The sequence below is a fragment of the Homo sapiens genome, chromosome 15, assembly GCF_000001405.40.
Source record: "Homo sapiens chromosome 15, GRCh38.p14 Primary Assembly".
Taxonomy (NCBI): Eukaryota; Metazoa; Chordata; class Mammalia; order Primates; family Hominidae; genus Homo; species Homo sapiens.
This window is the reverse complement of record NC_000015.10, coordinates 32,799,721-32,822,355: the sequence shown is the minus strand read 5'-3', so window position 1 is coordinate 32,822,355 and position 22,635 is coordinate 32,799,721. Positions and strand designations below refer to the sequence as shown.

Below are 22,635 nucleotides of genomic sequence, written 5' to 3'. Positions count from 1 at the left end.
TTGTTTGTGACAGACTCTCACTCTGTCACCCAGGCCTGGAGTGCAGTGCTGCAATCTCGGCTCACTGCAACCTCCACCTCCTGGGTTCACGTGATTCTCCTGCCTCAGCTTCCTGAGTAGCTGCAATTACAGGTGCATGCCACCACACCTGGCTAATTTTTGTATTTTTAGTAGAGGCGGGGTTTCACCATGTTGGCCAGGCTGGTCTCGAACTCCTGATCTCAGGTGATTCACCTGCCTTGGCCTCCCAAAGTGCTGGGATTACAGGTATCTCACAGATCTTCTCTTGAAGTTGTACTTCTTCAAGTTGAAAATGAATCTAGGAAGAAGTGGAGTAGCAAAAGGTATAATGAGCAAAGACATTTATAAAATAATGGTTAAAGCATTACTAATAAAATGTAAAGCATTTGTGTTTGATAATGTGGAAATAAAATTGCAGGTGATATCAAAATGGGATGAGGCATTGGATGTGACCGTAGAATTTAGGAGGAGAATGAAAGGAAAAGCAAGCCTCCCTTATATTGTTCCAGGTTAGGGTATTGAGATATAATAAGCTGTAGATAACCTTAAAATCACAGGTATAATGGGTGTTAAGATTTAAGTATTAGCCGGATGTGGTGGCTCATGCCTGTAATCCCAGCACTTTGGGAGGCTGAGGCAGGTGGATCATGAGGTCAGGAGTTCAAGAACAGCCTGGCCAAGATGGTGAAACCCCATCTCTACTAAAAATACAAAAATTAGCTGGGCATGGTGGCGGGCGCCTGTAGTCCCAGCTACTTGGGAGGCTGGGGCAGAGAATTGCTTGAACCCGGGAGGTAGAGGTTGCAGTGAGCCGAGATTGTGCCACTGCCCTCCAGCCTGGGGTGACAGAGCAAGACTCCATCTCAAAAAAAAAAAAAAAAAAAAGATTTAAATATTTATTAGTCAAAAAGTTAGAATTTATCATGTTCAAACCAGTAAAGGAAAAATGAAGCAAAGACAGTTTGGTGAATCCAACAAAAGTTAGGAAAAGGTGAAAAAGTAAATAGCCAGCAAGCTTGGTGAAGAAAAGTACAAAATAAATATGAGGATTAATCTAAATATATTCATAATCAAAATAAACACGAATGGACCAACTTTACCCAGGCAGCTGAAAGGAAAAAGAAATGACTCATTTAAACCTGAGAGAGGACAAGACAATCTGCCATTATTTGGATACTCTGATTATCTCTTAGAAAATCTGATTATCTCTTAGAAAATTGTATCTTAGAAAATCTGTGACATTTGAACAGTGTTTATCCATCTCCAACAACAACAACAAAACTGCCTCACACAATTTCAAATAATAATCTAAAGGACAAAAGCAAAACCAAAAATATAGACAGTATTAAAATACGAGACCTCTTTATTACCTTGGGAGTAGACGAGACCTTCTTGCAAATGATTTAATCAGCAAAAGACATGAAGAGTATTTATGAATTTGACTGTTTCAGATTTAAATTTAAAAATGATAAACGTTGTAAACAAAGTTAATAGACAAGCAAAAGCATGGGAAAATATATTTGCAAAATATTTAACCAAGGGTTGGTACCAAAATCTATGTAATTTGCAGAATTTTAAAAGTTTGACAAAACAATTATCAGCCCTTCGTAGTATTAAATTATACTATCATTGTGGAGGACTGACAGTCTCAAATAAATTAAAACTATGTCTACCTGATAACACTAACAAATCTACTTCTCTATGTCTGTCTTAGAGAAACCTTGCATGTTTGCACAGGGACACTCAGAAGTTCTGGAAGGATACTCCCAAAATGATAACAGTACTTGAGTTGTAGAAGATAACTATATATATATATGTGTTGGGGGAGACAGAGGGTGTGATGCAGAGGGCTATCAGGGGGACTTTATCTGTAATGTTTTATATTTTTATAAGGAGAATGCATATAACCTAAATTAGTTAAGGATTAATTTTGCAAAATATTTAAGAGTGGAAGTTTTATTTTCAGTTTCATAATAGAATTAAAGCCTCTCTCTTTGCAGTTAAAAGAAAAAGTGGCCTGTCTGTTAACGCAAAGTTTCAGGTTGAGCCCGCTTTTTATGTAATCATGAATCTCTGTTACTCAGTTCACTTTTTATAGTAGAGGGAGTTTTTAGATGAGAAGTTTATATACACCCTTCACGTTGTAATCATGAATCTTTGTTACTCAGTTGACTTTTTACAATACAGGGAGTTTTTAGATGAGAAGTTTATATACACCCTTCAGGTTGTATTGATGGATTTTGGTTGGAAGTCGTCTGCGTTTATCTTTAGGCATATCAGTTTTAAATGTTTAAATATCTGTAATTATTTTGTTTAACACTGATGTAGCTGGACTTATTATTCAGTCCACCATTTGAGATGGCAAAATCTTAAAAATACATCAAAGGCAGATTATTCTTGCCAGTCCTGTTTCAAGTATGCGAAAAATGGTAGGTAATACATTTACATTTTTAATTTCATTATATAAATGACATTAAACTAACCATAAAATAATTGCCAATAATAACAGCATTGTTTCACTGAGCTTCTATACATGACTGTGAGTCATTTTTCCTCGTCAAAATGAGAAGTGGTTTTTTTTCTTTCTTTTTTATAAAGTTAGATCCTAAATGCCCAACTTTTGACCATATTTTTCTTCTGCTTTGGAATTTTTTTCCTATCAGTCATTATATTTCTTTAGGAAACGTCTTTAAATTTTTTTGTGGGAAGGAACAAAGCTAGCAAAGAAACAGATGTGTCCCATATAAAATATGCAATAAATCTTGTCCCACAAATTCTTTGCTCTGAACTTTCTGACAGAAACTGTCAAATATCCACTTTAATTCAGGTATAAAATGTTCACTCCATGTCATGGCGCCAACCACCATATGCCAGAATAAAGTTAGTGACCAGCCATAAAAACAGCAGCATAAGCACCTTTGAAACGGTACAAGTCATCGTGGGTGAGAACGACCCATATAAATCCATAGGGAATTAATCTTGGCTTTGCTACTATCCTGCTGGGCATTTACAACAAGCTTCTACTCCCACACAGCAGAAGTAGTAATACTTTTTAAAAGGAGAGAGAAAATAAGAGAGCCGTATGTCCACCTAATAAGCTTGTTGGTTGGGGGGAAGGGGGTTGCATGGATCAGAAAGCAGTAGGTTTTCCTCCCCCTCCTCGGAGCTCTGGAATCCCCTTGAAGAGGCAGAGCTCAGCCTCAGTTGAACATGTGGGGTTCTTCTTCAGCTCGCCTTGCCTGCCTTCGCAGATCATGTGAAACCAATCTCCCTGAAGTGCAATCACAAGGAATGACTTCAGCTTCATAAATCATTGTTATCATCCCACAGGAGGAGGTAATGCTATGGTTTTTCTCCAGTAAAACATTTCAAGCCTCTGGTTTCATGAGCCTTTTTTTTTTTTTTTACTTTCTGAAATCAGCTTCGTGCCACTTGTACAATTAGCTTCAGGCTCCTGCGTACAGGAGATGGTGGCACTTCTCCAGTTTGCATAATATTTGAACATTTTACCCTCTCAGATTTCGAGGGAGATCTGTTTCCTACTGAATGCGTGCTTGTGTGTGTGGCTTGTCATATACACAGAGGCTTCACATTTGCTTCCAAGAATATACTGATCCTCAATATTTTTTGCATTAAGGGTATTTTCTTTATACTATATTTTTCAAATACAGAATAAGTAGTATATATTAGGTTTAAGCACAGGATAAAGAAATCTCAACTTACTTTGCAGTATTAGACACTATTTTAAAATGCACTGGTAGCCATGTAAAACATTTCTCTAAGGCGCAAAAATAGGAAGACTAAAGGGTGAAGCAATGGATGATTTCCAAGTTAAATCAAAAGATAAAAATCTGCCTTAATTCTATTTGGTAATATTTTAATAATCCTTCATAAACACTTCTTTCCTACAAGATCTCGTTTAGGAAGAACTGTCAAAAAATTATTCTGAAATGCTTTCATGAGTTTCTAGAAAATGTTTTGTTTGAATAGGTTCCATACTCACTTTGAAATAAAGGCTAATTTTTCAACAATTATTTTTAATAATTGTAAATTTAAATATAAATTCATTATAAAAGTATTCATTTAGAAGTTGACCTATACCTATACCTTTATGTTAAATAAAATGCAAGGGAAAAAATGAAAAAGCAAGAAAGGACATTACATTCAATATAATTTCAACTATATAACTAAAGCACAAATGAGTGTGTGATTATAAATATATACATTTATGAAATGAATCAGCATATTAATAGTGGCCATTGCTCAGAGAAAGTCTTATGCACTGCTTTTATTTTCTTATTTATATCTTTCTCAAATGTTCTACAATGAGGATTTATTACTTGTAAAATCTGGGGAAAATACAAAGGTTTGATAAAAAGCAGGGAAAAAGTGACCCACTGTAACATTCATTCTTATTGAATGTATTGTTAAATTGTTACCATATCAATGTGATTATTCAATGTTTGTACAAATTTTTCTTCAACAAAAGCTTTTTCTCTGAGGATGACAGTTATGATTGAAAGGTGACTCTGGAGGATTCCACCTGGAATTCTGATAAATTCACTGTCAGCACTTTCACCTTGACTTAGAAGCAGTGTGGTCACTTTAAAAACCAAGCCTCATTTCTTTATTTCCTTTTACTGGCTCTGATAATGATTGCTTCTGCTAATGGTTCATCTACTGGTGGAACAGATCAAATGTTCTTTAATGTGGAAAATATCTTCTGCAGCATCTTCTTTGGGAATCCCAGTTCTCTCAGCATTTTCTTTTCCTGCAAATATCACCCAAGAGACAGATTATGACCTTCATCACACCTAGATACTTGGTAACATCAGAGCTCTTGAAGTCATCGTGTTAATTCTTGGGTACCATTTCTAGTGGACCCGTTTTAAACCTCCAGCTATGACAAACCCTTGACCAAGTGAAATAAAAATGGGTTAAAAAGTAATTTGATGTTGTAAGCAATAGCCAATATTAGGGAAATTAGACTTTTGTCGGGTTCTGTGGCCATGTAAATTCAGTTTCCTAAGTACATTTAGCCTTTGCCAGGGTTTTAAAAGAAGATTGATTTAAGGATAGCAATGGCTATTTCATGATTATTTACAGGACGTTCTGGTAGTCTATTCATTTTTATGACTAAACATCTGAACAATTATTTTTCTAGAGGGAGAGCTTCAGCTATTTAACAAATGTGTTAAGCTACACAGATGTCAGAGGTTTCGTGTAAATAGATCTAGAACAAGAAATTTCCTTTGTCAAGGTATGATGCTGTATATTGTAAATCATGTATAAGTATGGCTTCTTTCTTCTCTTAGTTTTTCTTTAGTTAACGTCAGTCTTAAGCCATTAAAATCTCTGACCATGCCTAATAGCTTTTTATCTGAATTTTACTCTTTATAATGTGATTGAAACTATTCTTAATATTGGATGTCCTTCTGAACAATTTGTAAAAAATATGTAGAATGGTTACTTTATAGAGATTGTAGAATTTCATGTTGCCTGTGAGTATAAGGTGTGAATAAAGGACTTTAATGTGGGTGACTGCCCAATGAAATTTAACTTATCCGTGACAATGGTTGTTTTTCTGTTACGACTTATTTCTCTATTGTTCCACTGTAGTAATATGACAGTTTTACAGTTTTTCAGCAGGAACCTATAAAGAATCACAGTGTGGCCTAGTGAAAACTAGTCGGGAGTCAGGGGACAGCTTCTTTCTTTTTTGCCCAAAACTATTTGTATGACCTTAGGCAGGTCACTCGCTTTCAAAGTGCTCTGCAGCTGCCTCCAAACAGCATCTGTTGTTTCTTTTTCTGATTATATTAAATGAGCCCCTTTCTTCAAAAAGCAACTAAAAACAAATGAAAAACAAAAATCCTCTTAACCAGAGAGGCAGAAATAGCAACCATAATATTTTGGTATGTTACCTTCTGACTCTTTTATGGATTCAATATTTTGATAACTATATATATAATGTGTGTGATATACCTTTTGACGTAACTTTAGGCACATCATGCCACTGCTTTATATTCTTTATTTATAATTTTGTCATAGCATTTTCCCGTGATATTTTTTGCAAGCACGTTTTGTGGTATGTGGGTCTAGGAAGTGTGCTTTAATCCTTGGGAGCTTACTGTAGGGATACACGTATTACTAAGGAGAAACAGGGTGCTGAAATTCCCCAGAGAAGTTTCACAGGAACCCAAGAAAGGCTGCACAAGCAAATGTCACTGGATTACAAAGAATTATAGTGATGGTAGTCATTATCATAATCGGTATTTACTTAACTAATGTGCCAGGTGCCATGGCCGAGCACCTTACAAACATCTCTTTTAATTACTACAGCTGTCGAATGTAGGCTCTATCATTACTTTCATTTATAGATGAGAAAACTGAGTCTTAGCCACATTAAACAACTGACCCAGTGTCAATAGTTAGAAAGTAATGGAGCACTTGGAAGCTTCGGCTCCACTGTTAATCCACAGTGTAGAACCTAAGAATTTAGTATCATAGCACCTGGCATACTGAGTATTCAGTGAATGTTCATCACCATCATTACCACCACCACCACCAATCTGACTGTGCTAGGCCATTGTATTAGACTACTTTATAAGCATTAGGTTGACTGTCCTTGGATCTTAGTTGTAGCTATGGCTGGTGAAGGGAAGGGGACACACTCCAGTACGTGATTCCGTTATTGGAAAATCCACTATCTATTCAGTCTCCTATTATTGTTTAACTTAGCTTGTTTTTAAACTATAGCATGAGGGGTTTATATGAGGTAATTTCTTAAGTTTTGTATAGCTCCATAGTTTTCAAGTGTAAGGTTTCATTTTATCTAGTGTACATATGGACAAGTTAAAGTCTGAAGAATGAAGTATTGGCCCTAAATATCATAGATAATCATCAGAGGCAGTTATGGGAAACCCAAAGAAGCTAGTTGGAGAACTTTTTCTTCCATTAAAAAAAATTAACATGAGGTGCTTTCTTTCTTTAGATTTGCTGAATATCTAGTACTAAAATGCTATGAGGTTAAAAAAATGAGAGTTGCTTTTGAAGAACACTACTTTAAAGAAGAAATAAAAATAAACATGCAGGCCGGGCGCGATGGCTCACGCCTGTAATCCCAGCACTTTGGGAGGCTGAGGCGGGCAGATCACGAGGTCAGGAGATCGAGACCATCCTGGCTAACACGGGGAAACCCCATCTCTACTAAAAATACAAAAAATTAGCCGGGCGTGGTGGCGGGCACCTGTAGTCCCAGCTACTCGGGAGGCTGAGGCGGGAGAATGGGATGAACCCGGGAGGCGGAGCTTGCAGTGAGCCGAGATCGCACCACTGCACTCCAGTCTGGGCGACAGAGCGAGACTCTGTCTCAAAAATAATAATAATAATAATAAAATAAAATAAACATGCAGCCTATTACCACTTTGCTCATGAACCTGCTACAAATTCACACTTTTGTGGACATTCTCACCAATTAATAAAGCAACAAGTTACCGATTTATAAATACTAGGTTTATAGTCTCAAGTGCTAAGCATTTGAATACAAAGTTTGAAAGAAAAAGGCCGTAGTCCATGCCTTTCAGAAACTATACACCTTCAGACTAGTGCTAATGTTAAGATGAGACAGAGTTGTCTGGGAAAGAAGAGCTTCCTCCAAATTAGAATACCTGCAATTTATCACCAAATGGTTATCCAGAGCCTTGTGATTGTAAACCCCATTGCTTTTGAAATTTCACTAAGGTTCTTGATGAAACAAAATGCAAGAAGCCTTCTTTTAAAAATTTAGCTTCTTTGCAATTCCTAATATTTCCTAAATGGTGTCTGCTGTCTGAATGATGAGGCTATAGAGTTTAGTTTCCCTACATGACACCTGAAATACTTCTAAAGTATTGTATAAGGTCAGACCCTTCCCGTTGGAAATGAGATGGCTGGGAGACAAGGTAGACATTACAAGGAAACAGGATTTATGTATAATTATTTTTTAATTACAAGGAAATAGATTTATGTATAATTATCCCTTAAGTGAAAATTATATTTTATAAATATGCTTGTTTAGAAATATCTGTGAAAAATAACTAAGGAAAAGCATTTTACAAAAGACATCTGTCACTTCTATTAATGGTGATAAGTTAAAGACATATATGGGTCTAGAAGATGGTATAACTTGGAGAATTTCAGGCCCTGTTTGAGAATGTGACCACCTGACTCCCATTAATGTTAATGAGTCTCTCACCAGATCATTCTGAAATTGTACCCCCACGGTCTGTTTTAAAGCATCAAGAGTCAGGAAATTTAGCGTGAAAGCTGAAATTCCATCTTGGAACTTTCTCTCTGATGTATCTATTCCTATGGAAGATGTGTAGTACAGTGCAGCTTCAAAATACCACCTCGGTGTTTGGGAATCCTGGAGAAAAATGCTGCCCCTTGGGAAGCAGCAGGGAGCGTTGGAAAATGTAGATTATTAGTCACATTATTAGCCAAAATTATTAAATTATTAGTCAAAAGGCCTGGATTCTGTGACTATTAGTGTAATCCAAATAGTCGCTTCATCTACTTGGGTATCCATTTTCTCCACGTTGAGATTAAATAGTTGGGCTAAGTTATAGCAAGGTTAAGGTTATACTGTCTTATCAACTTCATCAAGGAATTGCATCTGTATCACTCGAAGCCAAGATGTTTCTGCATACAGGTAGTTGTGCAGCATTGAGGGACTTCACTGGACTACACAGAAGCAGAGGAACAAAAGTAGTAGAATATCAGCCACAAATCAAATGATTGCCTTTAAGAAGAATGAACAAAATCCTTCATAAAGTCTGAAGGCCAAGTGTTTTGTCAGTATTGTAAATGGTTGAAAGACTTACCTTGGGGCAAAGCATCTCATCTCTAGTGAAAATATATTGGGAAAAAAAAAGTGAGTTTACTTCTGAAAAAGTGTGGGTAAATATACTTCATTTAGATCCCAATTATACTTGTGTCCGATTACCTCCTAGAACTGTGACTTGATAAAATGTTTACTTTTGCAGTAGTTACTATTGATCACAGACTAGATGTATAATGTGGTTAAGTGTTTGAGATTATGGTCATCCCTCAGTATCCGTGGAGGATTGGTTCCAGGACCCTTATGGATATTAAACTCTACAGATGCTCAAGTCTCTCATATAGAATGGTGTCGTAATTGCTATAACCTACACCCATTCTTTAAATCATCTCTAGATTACTTATGATACCTAATACAATGTAAATGCTATATAACTAGTTGTTAGACTGTGTTGTTTAGGGAATGACAAGGAAAAAAAAAGCGTGTATATGTTCAGCACAGACACAACCATCCATTTTTTCCCCAAATGTTTTCAGTCTGCAGTTGGTGGAATCCATAACCCACAGATACAGAGGGCCAACTGTATATTGTGATCTCTGAAATTGTACCTGTCACCTATACAAATTATTATTACAGTCACCAGAGAATATAAATGAATACATGACACCTGAAATATTTCTATTGTAGAAGGTCTGACCCTTTCTATTGTATGCAAACAGCACTTTGTAATTCATGTTGTTATACCAATAAGATATTTTACGAATATCATCGTACTAGATTTAGAGATACAGGCTGAGAATCTCTAATCTGAAAATCCAAAATGCAAAATGCTCCAAAATCTGAAACTTTTTGAGCACTGACATGACATGAATAAACTGTCTGTTGCGCACCTGCGTTTTGACAAGACCCATCACTTGACTTTATGTGACGGTCTCGGCCAAAATGCAGGAGCACAATAGACAGTTTTTTCAGTGTCCTTGAGGGAAGAATAAAATTACCTTCAAGCTCTATGTATAAAGTATATATGAAACATAAATGAATTTCATCTTTAGACTTGGGTCCCATCCCCAATGTATTACATTATGTATATGCAAGTATCCCAAAATGTGGGGGACAAAAATTGAAATTGGAAACAATTCTGGCCTCAGGCATTTCAGATAAGGAGTACTCAGCCTGTATAAAAGTGTAAATGACTTAATATTATAAGTCACTTGTAAGTTTGATTGCCTCAGGACTCACATTTTCAACTATGTGTAAGGGAATTAAGTCGTACTGCCCTATCTCTGCCATTGTGTGTAATGAGTTGGCATTGTCCTAGACATTTAGAATGTTCCCGGTGATGTGTATATGGGGAAACTGAGAAAATAGCTTCTCAAATCCTTTTCTGTGTTCTGCAGTTCAGATGAAGGACCCTGGTTGAGAACAGCCCCAGGTGCCCAAGTTAGGTGATACCATTTCGTGGTTTTGTTTGTTTGTTTGTTTGTTTGTTTGTTTGTTTAGTGTCCATAAAATACTCCAATTCACTTAAGGGGCAACTAGAAATGGCAGATTAAAATGGTGAAAAAGGCTGGGTGTGGTGGCTCATGCTTGTAATCCCAGCACTTTTGAGAGGCTGAGGTGGGTGGATCACTTGAGGTCAGGAGTTTCAGACCAGCCTGGCCAACATGGCGAAACTACAAAAATTAGCCAGGCATGGTGGCATGTGCCTGTAATCCCAGCTACTCAGAAGGCTGAGGCAGGAGAATCGCTTGAACCCAGGAGGCGGAGGTTGCAGTGAGCCGAGATCGCACCACTGCACTCCAGCCTGAGTGACAGAGCGAGACTCCGTCTCAAAAAAAAAAAAAGCAAATAAAATGATGAAAAAGACAAGGTCTGCAAAGTCTGACTGGAAATAAGAGGATCCAGGATAGCACATCAGCCTGGGAGGTAGACTAGATGACCATTTGAAGACTCCTTTTAACTGGATTTTTTTTTTTTATTTTATGACTCTGAAGACCTCTTCAGAGTGTAGTGACACAATGTCCTTTACTTGGTACTTTCACCAAAAGCCTAGTTTCCTAGTCCACTTTAGCCTTAGGCAAGTGACCTGGAAATCCTACACCCTACACTAGGAACCTTGACAGCATGTCTTTATACAACCTCATAACACTTTACACAGAAAATCTCACAGGTGGCCCTCTACTCTTCAACTTTACCATCCAGCTTAGACACTTGCTCTGACAGACCAGAAATGATCACTCTTCTAATTTCACCACAACCAGGAAAACTAATAACTTAGGAAGACCAGCAAGGATATCGTCCTCCATGGGCAAGCATACCAGAAGGAAAAATGTAAGGGTAAGAACTCTGCATCACAAACTGGTTCCAAATATCTGTTGTTTTCTTCTCTCAAATGTTAAAAGGCCATCCCTTTCCGATGTCAGCGTGCTGTGCCTCTGTTGGTGTAAAGCATTTGTTTCTCCTGGAAAGTGCACAACGGGGATTTTCTAAGAAATGGAAAACGATTGCCACACTCACATCAGACGGATCCCACGTGAAGCAGAGCGCAGTCCCTTTGTTTCCTCGTTAGCATCACCCGGCTCCCATATTTGTAGAGCTGTAATAAAAACAACTTCTTAACTGTGCGTCCTGTTGGTTTATACCAACCATGTCAGGTCCATAAACCATGGTATATTAAAGTGTAATAGACTGTGTAAAGAATACTAGGAAGATACTCCAACCCTTATCCCTTCCCCTTATTTCACAATTTACTGCCTCCCAGATGGGCATCCATAAATAGGACTTAATTGCGTTTGGCATAAAAGCCCCACTTTCTTTAAAGAGTGGCCTCCTCCTTCAGCCACTCTCATTGTATGAATGCCACCCTCTTGAGAATAAAAACTTCGGTTATTTGGGTACATTTAAATGGTGAATGTTCTTAGTCTGAATATTTTATGGAAATATCATTTTATTTATAAAAACTTTCTCTTTTTCAAAGTTAACTGTGGAAAATAGTATATTTTAAAGACTCAATCTGATACAGACGAAACTGGAGGGTTAATGCTATTTGTGCCTCCCTATAGTGTTAGTGCTGTTTGTGCCTGTGTTAATGTATCAGTCTAAAAGCAGGACATAGGATGGGCATAGTAATCTCTTGCTTTTCAGTTCTACTCTACTCTTCACTATTTTGTTGCAAACAAAAGATGGAAGATTAGAAATTTCTGTGCCAAAAAACAGGCACTTAATGAGTAGGGACTGTGTTCTGCTAACATGGGTTCTTCTGTTGTGTACTTTTCCATCTGTCAAATAAGTACACAAGGCTGGGCACGGTGGCTCACGCCTGTAATCCCAGCACTTTGGGAGGCTGAGGCAGATGGATCACTTGAGGTCAGGAGTTTGAGACCAGCCTGGCCAACATGGTGAAACCCTGTCTCTACTAAAGATACAAAAATTAGCCAGCCATGGTGCGTGCCTATAATCCCAGCTACTTGGGAGGCTGAGGCTGGAGAATCACTTGAACCCGGGAGATGGAGGTTGCAGTGAGCTGAGATTGCATCACGGCACTCCAGCCTGGGTGAAAGAACAAGACCCTGTCTCAAAAGAAAAAAAAAAATAAGTATTTGAGTACCTGCTAGGTAATAGTTGAGAGAAAAACTCTGAAAACAGATTTTGGTTGCAACTCTGAAAGGAGCACAGAGTCCAGTGGGAAAAGCCAGCTGCAAGCCAGTGACCTTGACATAGCATTCTGTGTGCTGTGATAAGGAATTGTGGGGAGATAGTGTGTTTGGATCTCCACAGAAAGAACGGCTCACCACATTATGGGGGAGAGGCATGGAGGGCCCCTCAGAGGAGATTTTCAAGCTTGGTTTTCAAAGAAAGAGAAGACATTCAAACAGAAGGGTAGGAGAAGGGAGAAGGGCAAGGAAGAGAAGGCATTAGAAACAGAAGGAGCAAAGTGCCCAAAAATAAAGACACCATGCAGCAAGTTAAGTCCAGAGACCAGCCATGAGTCCCACGCAGCAGGAGCTCTGGGGATGATAGTATGGGGATGGCAGGAGGCAGGTGTGAGGGGCACACTGTGAACTGCAAATGCACTTTGTCTTCAGAGGGGGAACCAGTGAGAACATTAAGCAGAAAAGGGGCATAGTTCACTTTGCCTTCTAAAATGGCAGTTTTGGTGGCAACAAAGAGAATTGAATTTACTGTGCAATGAGGGGAACCTGTTACAGGTCACCATATAGAGCCTAGAGGTTAAGGAAGGAATCTTAGCTCTCAGAAAACTTAACCTCTCAAAAAAAGACTCCTGTATCATTGTCTTTTATTTGGTATTGGGGAAGTGATCCAGTTAATCAGGTCAAAGATTACAGAACTCCATGGTCATTAAGGGGAAAAAACAGGTGAGAGTAATCATTAAGTACCTCTCCCCTCACATCCACCCCCATGACTCCCAGTTATTTGTTAAATTATAAATAAGTTTTTCTCTTTCTCCTGAGGATGAAATAAAACAAAATGAGCTGAAACAGCAAATAAAATGACTTTAGGTCAGACATAGGGAACCACCCTTTTGTAGAAAAGCCTTTTACAGGCCATGCTAAGGACATCAGCTCAGTGAGTGAAATGAAAAAAAAAAAAACACTAAAGTTTTGAGCATAAATGATAACAACCAAAATTCTTGTCTACTGAAAGCAGTTATGAACATTCTAAAGAAAGCATGTTGTGTGCAATTTTGTGATAACCATGCCAAAAAGTCAGAAAGCTAGAGTAGTGACTACTAGCATTTGCTTCTAGCCAATAGACAATAAATGGCTGCCATTCTGGAATGCCCATCATATGTCAGTCACTAGATTAATCTCACACGTTCAGTATATCTCATAGTCACAAGCACTTTGCAAGGTAGATCTTATTATTCCCATTTTACGGATAAGGCTCAGTGGAGTTAAGTGATTTTCTGACGATCACCCAGTTAATAAGTATCAGAGCAGAAATTAAACCCAGGTCCACCTGGTGCAAAACCCAAGCTCTTTCCTCTATGCTACACTTCATTTAACTCTGGCAAAACAGCCAACCCACTGGAAGCTTGAACCCCCAGCAGCCATGGCATGACGTTGAACTGTCAAAGACCTGACTGCAAAGACTGGCTGCAACTATGTGGGAGGGTAGGTATCATCATCTCCATTTGACAGAGCAGGAGACTGAAACACAGGACACTGTGATTGGCTCATGACACTCAGGTGACACAGCTAGGGTTAAAGCTTGGCAGTTAGTTATCATGAGTTCTGATTTGCATTCCTTGGGCCCATAGCCATGGAATAGAAAGCCATTTCTGCTTCACTTGGTAGGCTGTGGAACTATGAACTTCAGAATTGTTCTTGTGGAGCAATTGTATGATATATAGTTCCCGTATTGAAAAGCTAGAACTAGAACGTTGGAACACCGGGATTCTTATACTTGGCCCACAGTGACCTTATTTGTTGATGGTATTAGAATTTGAGTTTGTGACTCCAGTCTTTAAACATGGTTCTTCCAGGTCATGTATTTGTGTTTTGCTTAGAGCATCTTGAAGACTTAAAATGTGTAATGGCCTGGTTTAAAATTTTACACATTCAAGTAGGAGAAATATTTCATGCTGTTAGAGCTTCCAAGTCACACCATAAAGGTAGATGCCTTTTGTATCTGTACAAGGGCAAAATTAGGGAACATTTAAATCTCTAATTTCTTCTCATTTTCCTGAAGGCCCTTTTCCCTAAACCCTCAGAGTTTTCTGCAGTGTGCATTGGCTCTTAATAATACCTCTTTTTACATTTAGACTCTGTTTCTCCAAATCACCATATTCACAGAGGTATTGCAAAATCTTACCTGATGCTCAATTCAGTTTGAATAGGGTATTTCTTGTCACTAAATTCATATACAGTTATGGCTTGGCCACACTCTGCTTAGCACACACAGCTTGGAAGTAGCCAGTTAGAAACCATCTGCTGAGAGAGCAGAGCTGGTCCAAGAAGATCACTCGGGCCTCAGAGGAATTTTTCCTCCTGTTTGGCTATGCACATAACTTAAAATCACTGGAGAAGAACAGATCACTAGTTTGTTTCACATTTTGGGGAACTTGATAACCTAGGAGAGACACAGGTCATTTCTCAGTATCTGATTGGCTAAGTACCAGACTAATTCACAGAAATTCCTGCCAAGAGTATGGGGGGACATCAGACAGCAAAAGATGGCCCTGGCCATGGCTTCCGTCTGCCTAAAATGATGCACTTATGAAAGCTGAATCATTTTAATATAAAACAAAATAAGTTTTACTAGTTGAAATATACTACATTTAGAGATAATGGTATACAACATTAGCCTCTCAATCTTCTTTAGCTTATGTTCATATTCTAAATATAAAGTTTTTTCAGGAAAGCCAGTATATCTCTTTTTAAGCAAGCTTTATCCAATATATGCATTTTTAAGCTAAAATGATTGCTTTAACATATAGCCAGTTTTCTACAATTAAGGCTACAGCAGAAAGCAAGCCAGGTGAAGCTGCTGCCCTCCTAGAGCTTACATTCAGTTGTTGCATGATAAACACATGAGGAAAGGAATAGTCTGTTAGGTAGATAGAGGCTGTGGGAAGGCTATGGAAGGAAGGTAGGGGTAGAGGGTGTGTGTGGAGGGGTAGTAGGAAGATGATGAGTGGCAAGGGATGGTCTTTTATTTACGGAAGCTGGAGAAGGAGATACTTCTGCTGAGACCTCAATGCAGTGAGGGAGCCCATCGTGCAGACTGTGGTCAGGGTGTCCCAGAGAGGAGGAACAGCAAGTGCAAAGATCCTCCAATGTGCACGCTCAGTGCGCTCAAGCCAGAGGCAGCTGCCAGCGAAGCTGGAAAGGAAGGGGTGTGGGAAAGAGGAGGTAATGCCACCAAACAGCCAGGGAGCCGACTTAAGTGCAGGGCCTTCTAGAGCATTTTGAAGACTGTAGATACTATGTCAAGGCTGATGGCAAGACAAGCCATTGGAAGGTTTTGAGCAGGGGAGCCTTTACATTTTAAAATCAATGAGGAAGATTATGGTAATGTAGTATTAATACCTGCCATGGCCTATATTGAGCACACATTATGTGCTAAGCACTCTGCATGTATTATCTCATTAAATCTTTACAGCAGCTGTATGATAATGGTCACTATGGCTGTTCTCATGGGACAGATGAGGCAATAACTAAGCATTTGGTCTTAACTAACTTGCCAAAGTCATACAGATAGTAAGTGGTAGGGCCAGGTTTAATAAAAGGGTGATGTTTCAAAATCCCTTATCTTTCATGAAGTATCACAGCATAGATCCTAGATACGAGACTTACTTATTTTCGTTCATTTTACATCATTGTAGCCCTAAATTAAAGGAATCTGAAGGCTTATGTTACATAATAACATGTTACATAATAACATAACAACTTATGTTGTAGCTTATGTTAACAACTTTCCTATTTTTCTGGATATTTTAAAGTGTGAGAGTGGTATTTTCATATATAATAATATATCTTCTGATTGTAGAGAAGGATATATAAAAGAACCACCCCAAAATGAAACCTCTTGATAATCCTATAGAAAGAACATAGGTTCTTAACCTGTGGATTCAGAATTGTATCTTAGTATCACTGATTTTCTTAGTAACCTTATGAAAACATTATTCTGACAAGAGTCCATGGGCTTCCCTAGACTGCCAAAAGGGCCTGTGGGTGTGGAGGCAGTATGCGGCAAGATTCCCATGACTCTGAGCAGCACTGCTGCAAATGCTACTGGATTTATAATGTTTAGAGTAAGGGGGAACATGATGAGACGTGCAAGAGGGACCACATGTCGTGATCTACCCAAGATTTCCCTAATTTATGTCTTTGCCTAGGTGTAATTATTAACATTACTCTCAAAAGTATCCCAGAGGAAACAATAAATTATTTGGCCACTATTAGCTATGTCTGTTATCAAGACTTCATGACTAAAACACCAAAAGCAATGGCAACAAAAGCCAAAATAGATAAATGGGATCTAATTAAACTAAAGAGCTTCTGCACAGCAGAAGAAACTGTCATCAGAGTGAACAGGCAACCTACAGAATGGGAGAAAATTTTTGCAATCTACCCATCTGACAAAGGGCTAATATCCAGAATCCACAAAGAAAAACAAATTTACAAGAAAAAAACAACCCCATCGAAAAGTGGGCAAAGGATATGAACAGACACTTCTCAAAAGAAGACATTTATGCAGCCAATAGACACATGAAAAAATGCTCATCATCACTGGTCATCAGAGAAATGCAAATCAAAACCACAATGACACACCATCTCACTCCAGTTAGAATGGCGATCACTAAAAAGTCAGGAAACAACAGATGCTGGAGAAGGTGTGGAGAAATAGGAACGCTTTTACACTGTTGGGAGTGTAAATTAGTTCAACCATTGTGGAAGACAGTGTGGTGATTCCTCAAGGATCTAGAACTAGAAATACCATTTGACCCAGTGATCCCATTACTGGATATATACCCAAAGGATTATAAATCATGCTACTATAAAGATATATGCACATGTATATTTATTGTGGCACTATTCACAATAGCAAAGACTTGGAACCAAGCCAAATGTCCATCAATGAGAGACTGGATTAAGAAAATGTGGCACATATACACCATGGAATACTATGCAGTCATAAAAAAGGGTAAGTTCATGCCCTTTGCAGGGACACGGATGAAGCCAGAAACTATCATTCTCAGCAAACTATCACAAGGACAGAAAACCAAACACTGCATGTTCTCACTCATAGGTGGGAGTTGAACAGTGAGAACAGATGGACACAGGGTGGGGAACATCACACACTGGGGCCTGTTGGGGGGTGGGGGGCTGGGGGAGGGATAGTATTAGAAATACCTAATGTAAATGACGAGTCGATGGGTGCAGCAAACCAACATGGCACATGTATACATATGTAACAAACCTGCACGTAGTGCACATGTACCCTAGAACTTAGTATAATTTAAAAAAAAAAAAAGCAGTGGTAGCAAATAAAGCAAATTGAGTGTTATTGCCAGGACATGTGTTACAGGCTACCCCCCCCCCCCCCCCCCGAATTCAGACCTCCTGTGGTAATGAATGGGTGTAATTGAAGCTGTAAGATTACGCAAAGGAGACAACAGAAGAAAAAATTTTTAATCATGATTTATCTTTTACAGCCAAAAAAGAGCATAAGATGGAAGAAAGTCACTTGGAGAATGCACAGAAAAGGTAAGCAGCTCTGATTTGGCCCCAGTTCTTTCTTTGACTAGCCATTCTTTTGTATTATTATTATGAAGTGCATTCATTTTGCTATGCAGTTCTATCTCCAAAACATTTTTACTTCCCCAACTGAAACTTTATACCCTTTAAACACAAATTCCCCATTCCCCACTCCCCTGTCCCTAGGCAACCACCGTTCTACTTTCTGTCTCTGTGACTTCGACTACTTTAGCTACCTCATGCAATTGGGGTCATCCAGTATTTGTCCTTGTGTGACTGACTTCTTTCCTGTAGCATAAGGTTTGACTAGCCCTACTTTCGGCCCCATGTGTTAAGACTATGCATCCATAAGCAATAAGCTTCACTTGGAAGCTGGAGTGAAAGCACTGTAGCAGGACTTAGGAATATTTTTCCTCAGGAAGTGAGGAATCATCCAGAAGTGACTCACCTGCCTCACATGCGTGTCATGACACTATTCTGCCTGTTTGCCTGTCCTGCATTGCTCTGCTCCTGAACCGCTTGATGGAAGTCAGGGACAGTTTGATCCTTCCTGGCATTACAACTAGATCAAACTAATTATTGCAGACACCCAAGAGACTTATTATGTCTTTCCTCAGCTTCTAGAGGAGGATATTATAAACAAGGGGCAGGTAGGGAGAAGGGGCTGTCCATATGTTCAGGTGGGGAGAAGGGGCTGTCCATATGCCCATACAGCGTATGGACAATTTCCCCCAGAAGTTGGGGAACACCTCAGAGATCTTCTGTTCAGATTCATGTCACCCACTTCAGGCATCTTCTTGCTCGCTCACTCTCTCAATAGATATCACATGGGAACCATTCACTCCACCCAGTGGAACCTAATCATCAGCAGTTCTCATCCCTTAGGGCTTTTTCCTTTTTGTTAGTTGACCAGGTTAGTCAGTGTGGCTCTCCCTCCCTCATAGAAGAGTGAGTGGCAATAGACAGCGGTATTCTCATATTTAGGGCTGAAATTTGAGATACATTTTGCTGGTACGAATTCTAAAAGTACTGGTAAATTAGATGACAGGTAGAGGTAGGAGACAGCATCTAAGGACAAATGAGCTTTACAAATGTGTGAGAGGAACAGTTACCCAGTTAGGAATTTAAATGCAAATAAACAGATTGTAGAAATTAACCATTTTCCTCCTGTCTAGCCACAATTTCCGAGACTTCTGAAATCCCATAGACGGTGCCATCTGCCCTGCTTTCACAGGTGCCAACATCTTGCCCTGCTTCCCACTGTAATTACCAATAAGATTAAAATGCTGGTGAAAGCAAGGTGAAGGCAAGTCTTGCACTTTGCTAAGTACAGACATATTCTCAAATCGTGCTTATCATCCTATCATAATAATCATTCAAAACTGAGATAATTCCATGGCTATGTTTTTAGGAGTTTGTGTCTCTCTATTGACCTTATTCCTATGTTAAGCTTCCCTTCACAATGCATAAAACTAGCACGTCTGTGTTATAGAAACATCCAGCACATAAGAGATTATCAACAAGGGCACGTTGGTGTCAGGCCAAACAGAAATTCAGCTTCTGGGGCGGATGTCAAATTTCTAATACTTTTTCAGGATTCTTGCTGAAGGAAAAGGGGGCCCAGCGTGGAGGGGCCGAAACTGCTGCCGTGCATTAGCTCTGTGGAGGGGAGTCATAAATTCTGGTTGTCAGCGTTTTCCGTGGCTTTGTGGTGAAGGTAGTCTAGCTTTCATGTCATACATGAAATATGTTAGATCCCATCTTTAATGTAGAAACCACAGTTGTTTGGTTATACTCTTTAAGGAGGTTGTGGTCAGTGTTGCAATATTTGTGTGAGATTAGTGAATTCTTATGTTTTATTCTCAAGAGAAACAATTTACTCTGAGGCTAAGGCATATTTGCTTTTCCTAAGCAGTTTCTGAAGGCATGCATGTAAGACAATAAGTGGATGTGTTCCGCTCTGGATCTCAGGACTGTAAAAGTAAAACAGTTCACTTCGCTACAGGCTCTTTGATGTAATCATTGTCTGTACTTTAAAAATGTTTGGCTGAATTAAAAAGATACAAATCAGACAGGGAATTATAGCAGAGAGAAAAGGGGTCAGGGACTAGTTTGCATGAAATGAAAAAGTTATATAAAACCAAACATAGGATTAGAAATCAATCTTCTAAAATTTGAGAGCCATTTTAGAGCTATCTGCTAACAAATAGAAATTTCAAATCGCATGATTGACCTTTGTTTCCTGTATATTAGAGAAAATTCTCCTGGTTGTTAAATATCAACAATTTTCTTGTCCAAATTGCAAAAGATTTTCAGTGGTCAATCTCTGTGAATCAAAACTGAATTTAAAATGGAGTTTTGTCTAGGAAAGACAACAGTCTAGGCCTTATCAAACCATTGCAGGTTCATATTCTAGCTTTTAGCATTTTCTTAAACAGTGGAATAACAATGAAATCAAATAAGGCACACTGGTTTTGTTTGTTTGTTTGTTTTTTGAGACGGAGTCTCATTCTGTCGCCCAGGCTGGATTGCAGTGGCGCAGTCTGGGCTCACTGCAAGCTCTGCCTCCCAGGTTCACGCCATTCTCCTGCCTCAGCTTCCTGAGTGGCTGGGCCTGCAGGTGCCTACCACCACGCCTGAATAATTTTTTTTTGTTTGTTTGTTTTTGTTTTTTTGTTTTTGTTTTTAGTAGAGATGGGGTTTCAGCATGTTAGCCAGGATGGTCTCGATCTCCTGACCTCGTGATGCACCCGCCTCGGCCTCCCAAAGTGCTAGGATTACAGGCGTGAGCCACTGTGCCCGGCCAAATAAGGCACATTCTTGAAGCGACTTTATCTTTGTCTAAGCTGCTGAGTGCCAAAGCCAGGCCATCCTCTGGGAGTCTGTGTACTTTGGTTCTTCTGAAGAGGTTCACTTGCTTTCTTAGTTTCCAAAACACATAAGAAAAAAAAGGCTGAAATTTAGTATTTTTTTTAGTGTTTCTCCCCCTTTCAGGGAGAGTAAGCAAGCAGTACCTCACAAATCCCCAGGGAGAGAGGCAAGGAGGGCAATGGTTAGCTTCAGTTTAGAGTTGGGAAAATCGAGGCCCACAGGAGGATGATGTGTTTTTCTCAGGCTGTGCAACAACCACCAAATCACTCTTGACATTCTCTGAAACTGCACCAGGATTTGCAATATGTTGATCTCACAATCTAGACTCCAGGTGATGCCAGAGGTGTCAGGTGTTCCATGAAGCACAATAACTGGACTTCACTATATTTTGCTGGAAAATCAGAAGATAAGTTGTCCCTCTAAATACTAGAAATGAAAGACTTTCCCTTCCCCATGAATGCTCAAATAAATATGTATCTGTATAGAAGGTAAGCATAAGAAAGAGAAAAAATAATCACATGCCCTCCCTGGGGTAATGCATGTTATGTGTGATACAGAGGAGGACACCTGTGTCTAAAGTAGAAAAGGGTGGGGTAGAACGACTATTTTGTCTCTTAAATGCCTGTGTTATTGAGCATGAGCAACAGAAAGATAAAGCAGACAGAGCATTTCACAGAAAATCAGGGGACCTGAATTCCAGGCCCAACCCTACCAGGGAATAATGCCACACAGTCTTTCCAGGTCTCTGTTTTGTCACCTATAAAATGATAATTTGGGCAAGTCATCCTGTAAATTCCTTCCCATTCTAAAGTCCTGTGACTTTGTAGGAAATGAATGGCCTGTTCCTATAGGTTATATAACTCTCTACTTATGTATTCCCATGCTATAGTCAAAATAATTTTCATTTGAGTGAAATAAAGTTACATGCTATAGAGTGTACATTTGGTTTTACCAGTGTTTGGACTGCCATGGAAATAAGGGTTATGTCTGGGGCAAGAGTGGACATTGCCACATTCTTCCCTTCCCGGTTTTTCTCAACATTATGTATGTTTGGAATTATAATAGAGTCCCTTAAGAGATTACTGCAGTTATTGCCTTTCTCCACTTACACATTTCCAGTCTTTTAATAACTGGGAGCCAAAATTCCCTGACCAGTAGTTTTAATTTGCATTAAAAACAGATTTATTCTTTACAGAAGCACAAAGAATTTATGGGACTCAGAGCTGCAGCTCCAGCTTGGATCTCGCCTAATCGTACCCATGGAATCAATTAACAGTTCATCTGTGAAATGTGATAAAATCTTATGAGATACATATTGCCCAATAACCGAGAATGAGATGAAAGTATGCTCCATAATAGTAACGGAGCTTCAGGGTTTTACAATCGCCATTGAATAGAGTTCCATTAGAAAATCAGTATTCAGGATGGCCACACACAAAAAAAAAACCACTGTGTCTGAACAGATGATAGAGCATTGAGTAATAAACCTGGCCAGCCATTCCTGCTTTGATTAGTTTCCAACACCCTAGAAAAGGGGGTCATTTATTTAAGTGTTCTTGCTCATGGCAAATGAGCTTGTGAGGCTTGGGGTAGGTGGGGGTGAGGGGGAAAGATTGAGTTCAAAGCTGTAAATTGCTGCAAAGCTAGTGCCTCCAAGAAGGGCTGCTTGGGAGGCCCAGGTAGTCTGGTGTGCAGTGA

The 22,635-nt window shown here is 39.1% G+C and overlaps 1 protein-coding gene and 1 long non-coding RNA gene across 15 annotated transcripts in view; one reads left to right on the top strand and one right to left on the bottom strand.

Annotated features, from left to right (window-relative positions):
- FMN1 (formin 1) overlaps positions 1-22,635 on the top strand; it is a 429,171-nt gene that overhangs the window by 372,359 nt on the left and 34,177 nt on the right. For 10 of the 13 annotated variants that reach the window (XM_011521509.4, NM_001277313.2, XM_011521504.4 and 7 more), the window contains one exon: positions 18,024-18,075. In XM_011521509.4, the coding sequence (XP_011519811.1) occupies positions 18,024-18,075 (52 nt within the window). Of the gene's footprint in view, positions 1-11,244; positions 11,748-18,023; positions 18,076-22,635 lie in introns of those variants that run through there. The other 3 variants (XM_047432437.1, XM_011521505.3, XM_047432438.1) reach the window with 1 other exon arrangement.
- LOC107984089 (uncharacterized) overlaps positions 1,367-22,635 on the bottom strand; it is a 36,512-nt gene continuing 15,243 nt past the window's right edge. The window contains exons 2-3 of one of the 2 annotated variants that reach the window (XR_002957769.2): positions 11,360-11,438; positions 1,367-4,792 (exon numbers count right to left, since the gene is read on the bottom strand). This is a non-coding gene — a long non-coding RNA (uncharacterized LOC107984089). Of the gene's footprint in view, positions 4,793-8,419; positions 8,746-11,359; positions 11,439-22,635 lie in introns of those variants that run through there. The other variant, XR_002957770.2, reaches the window with a different exon arrangement.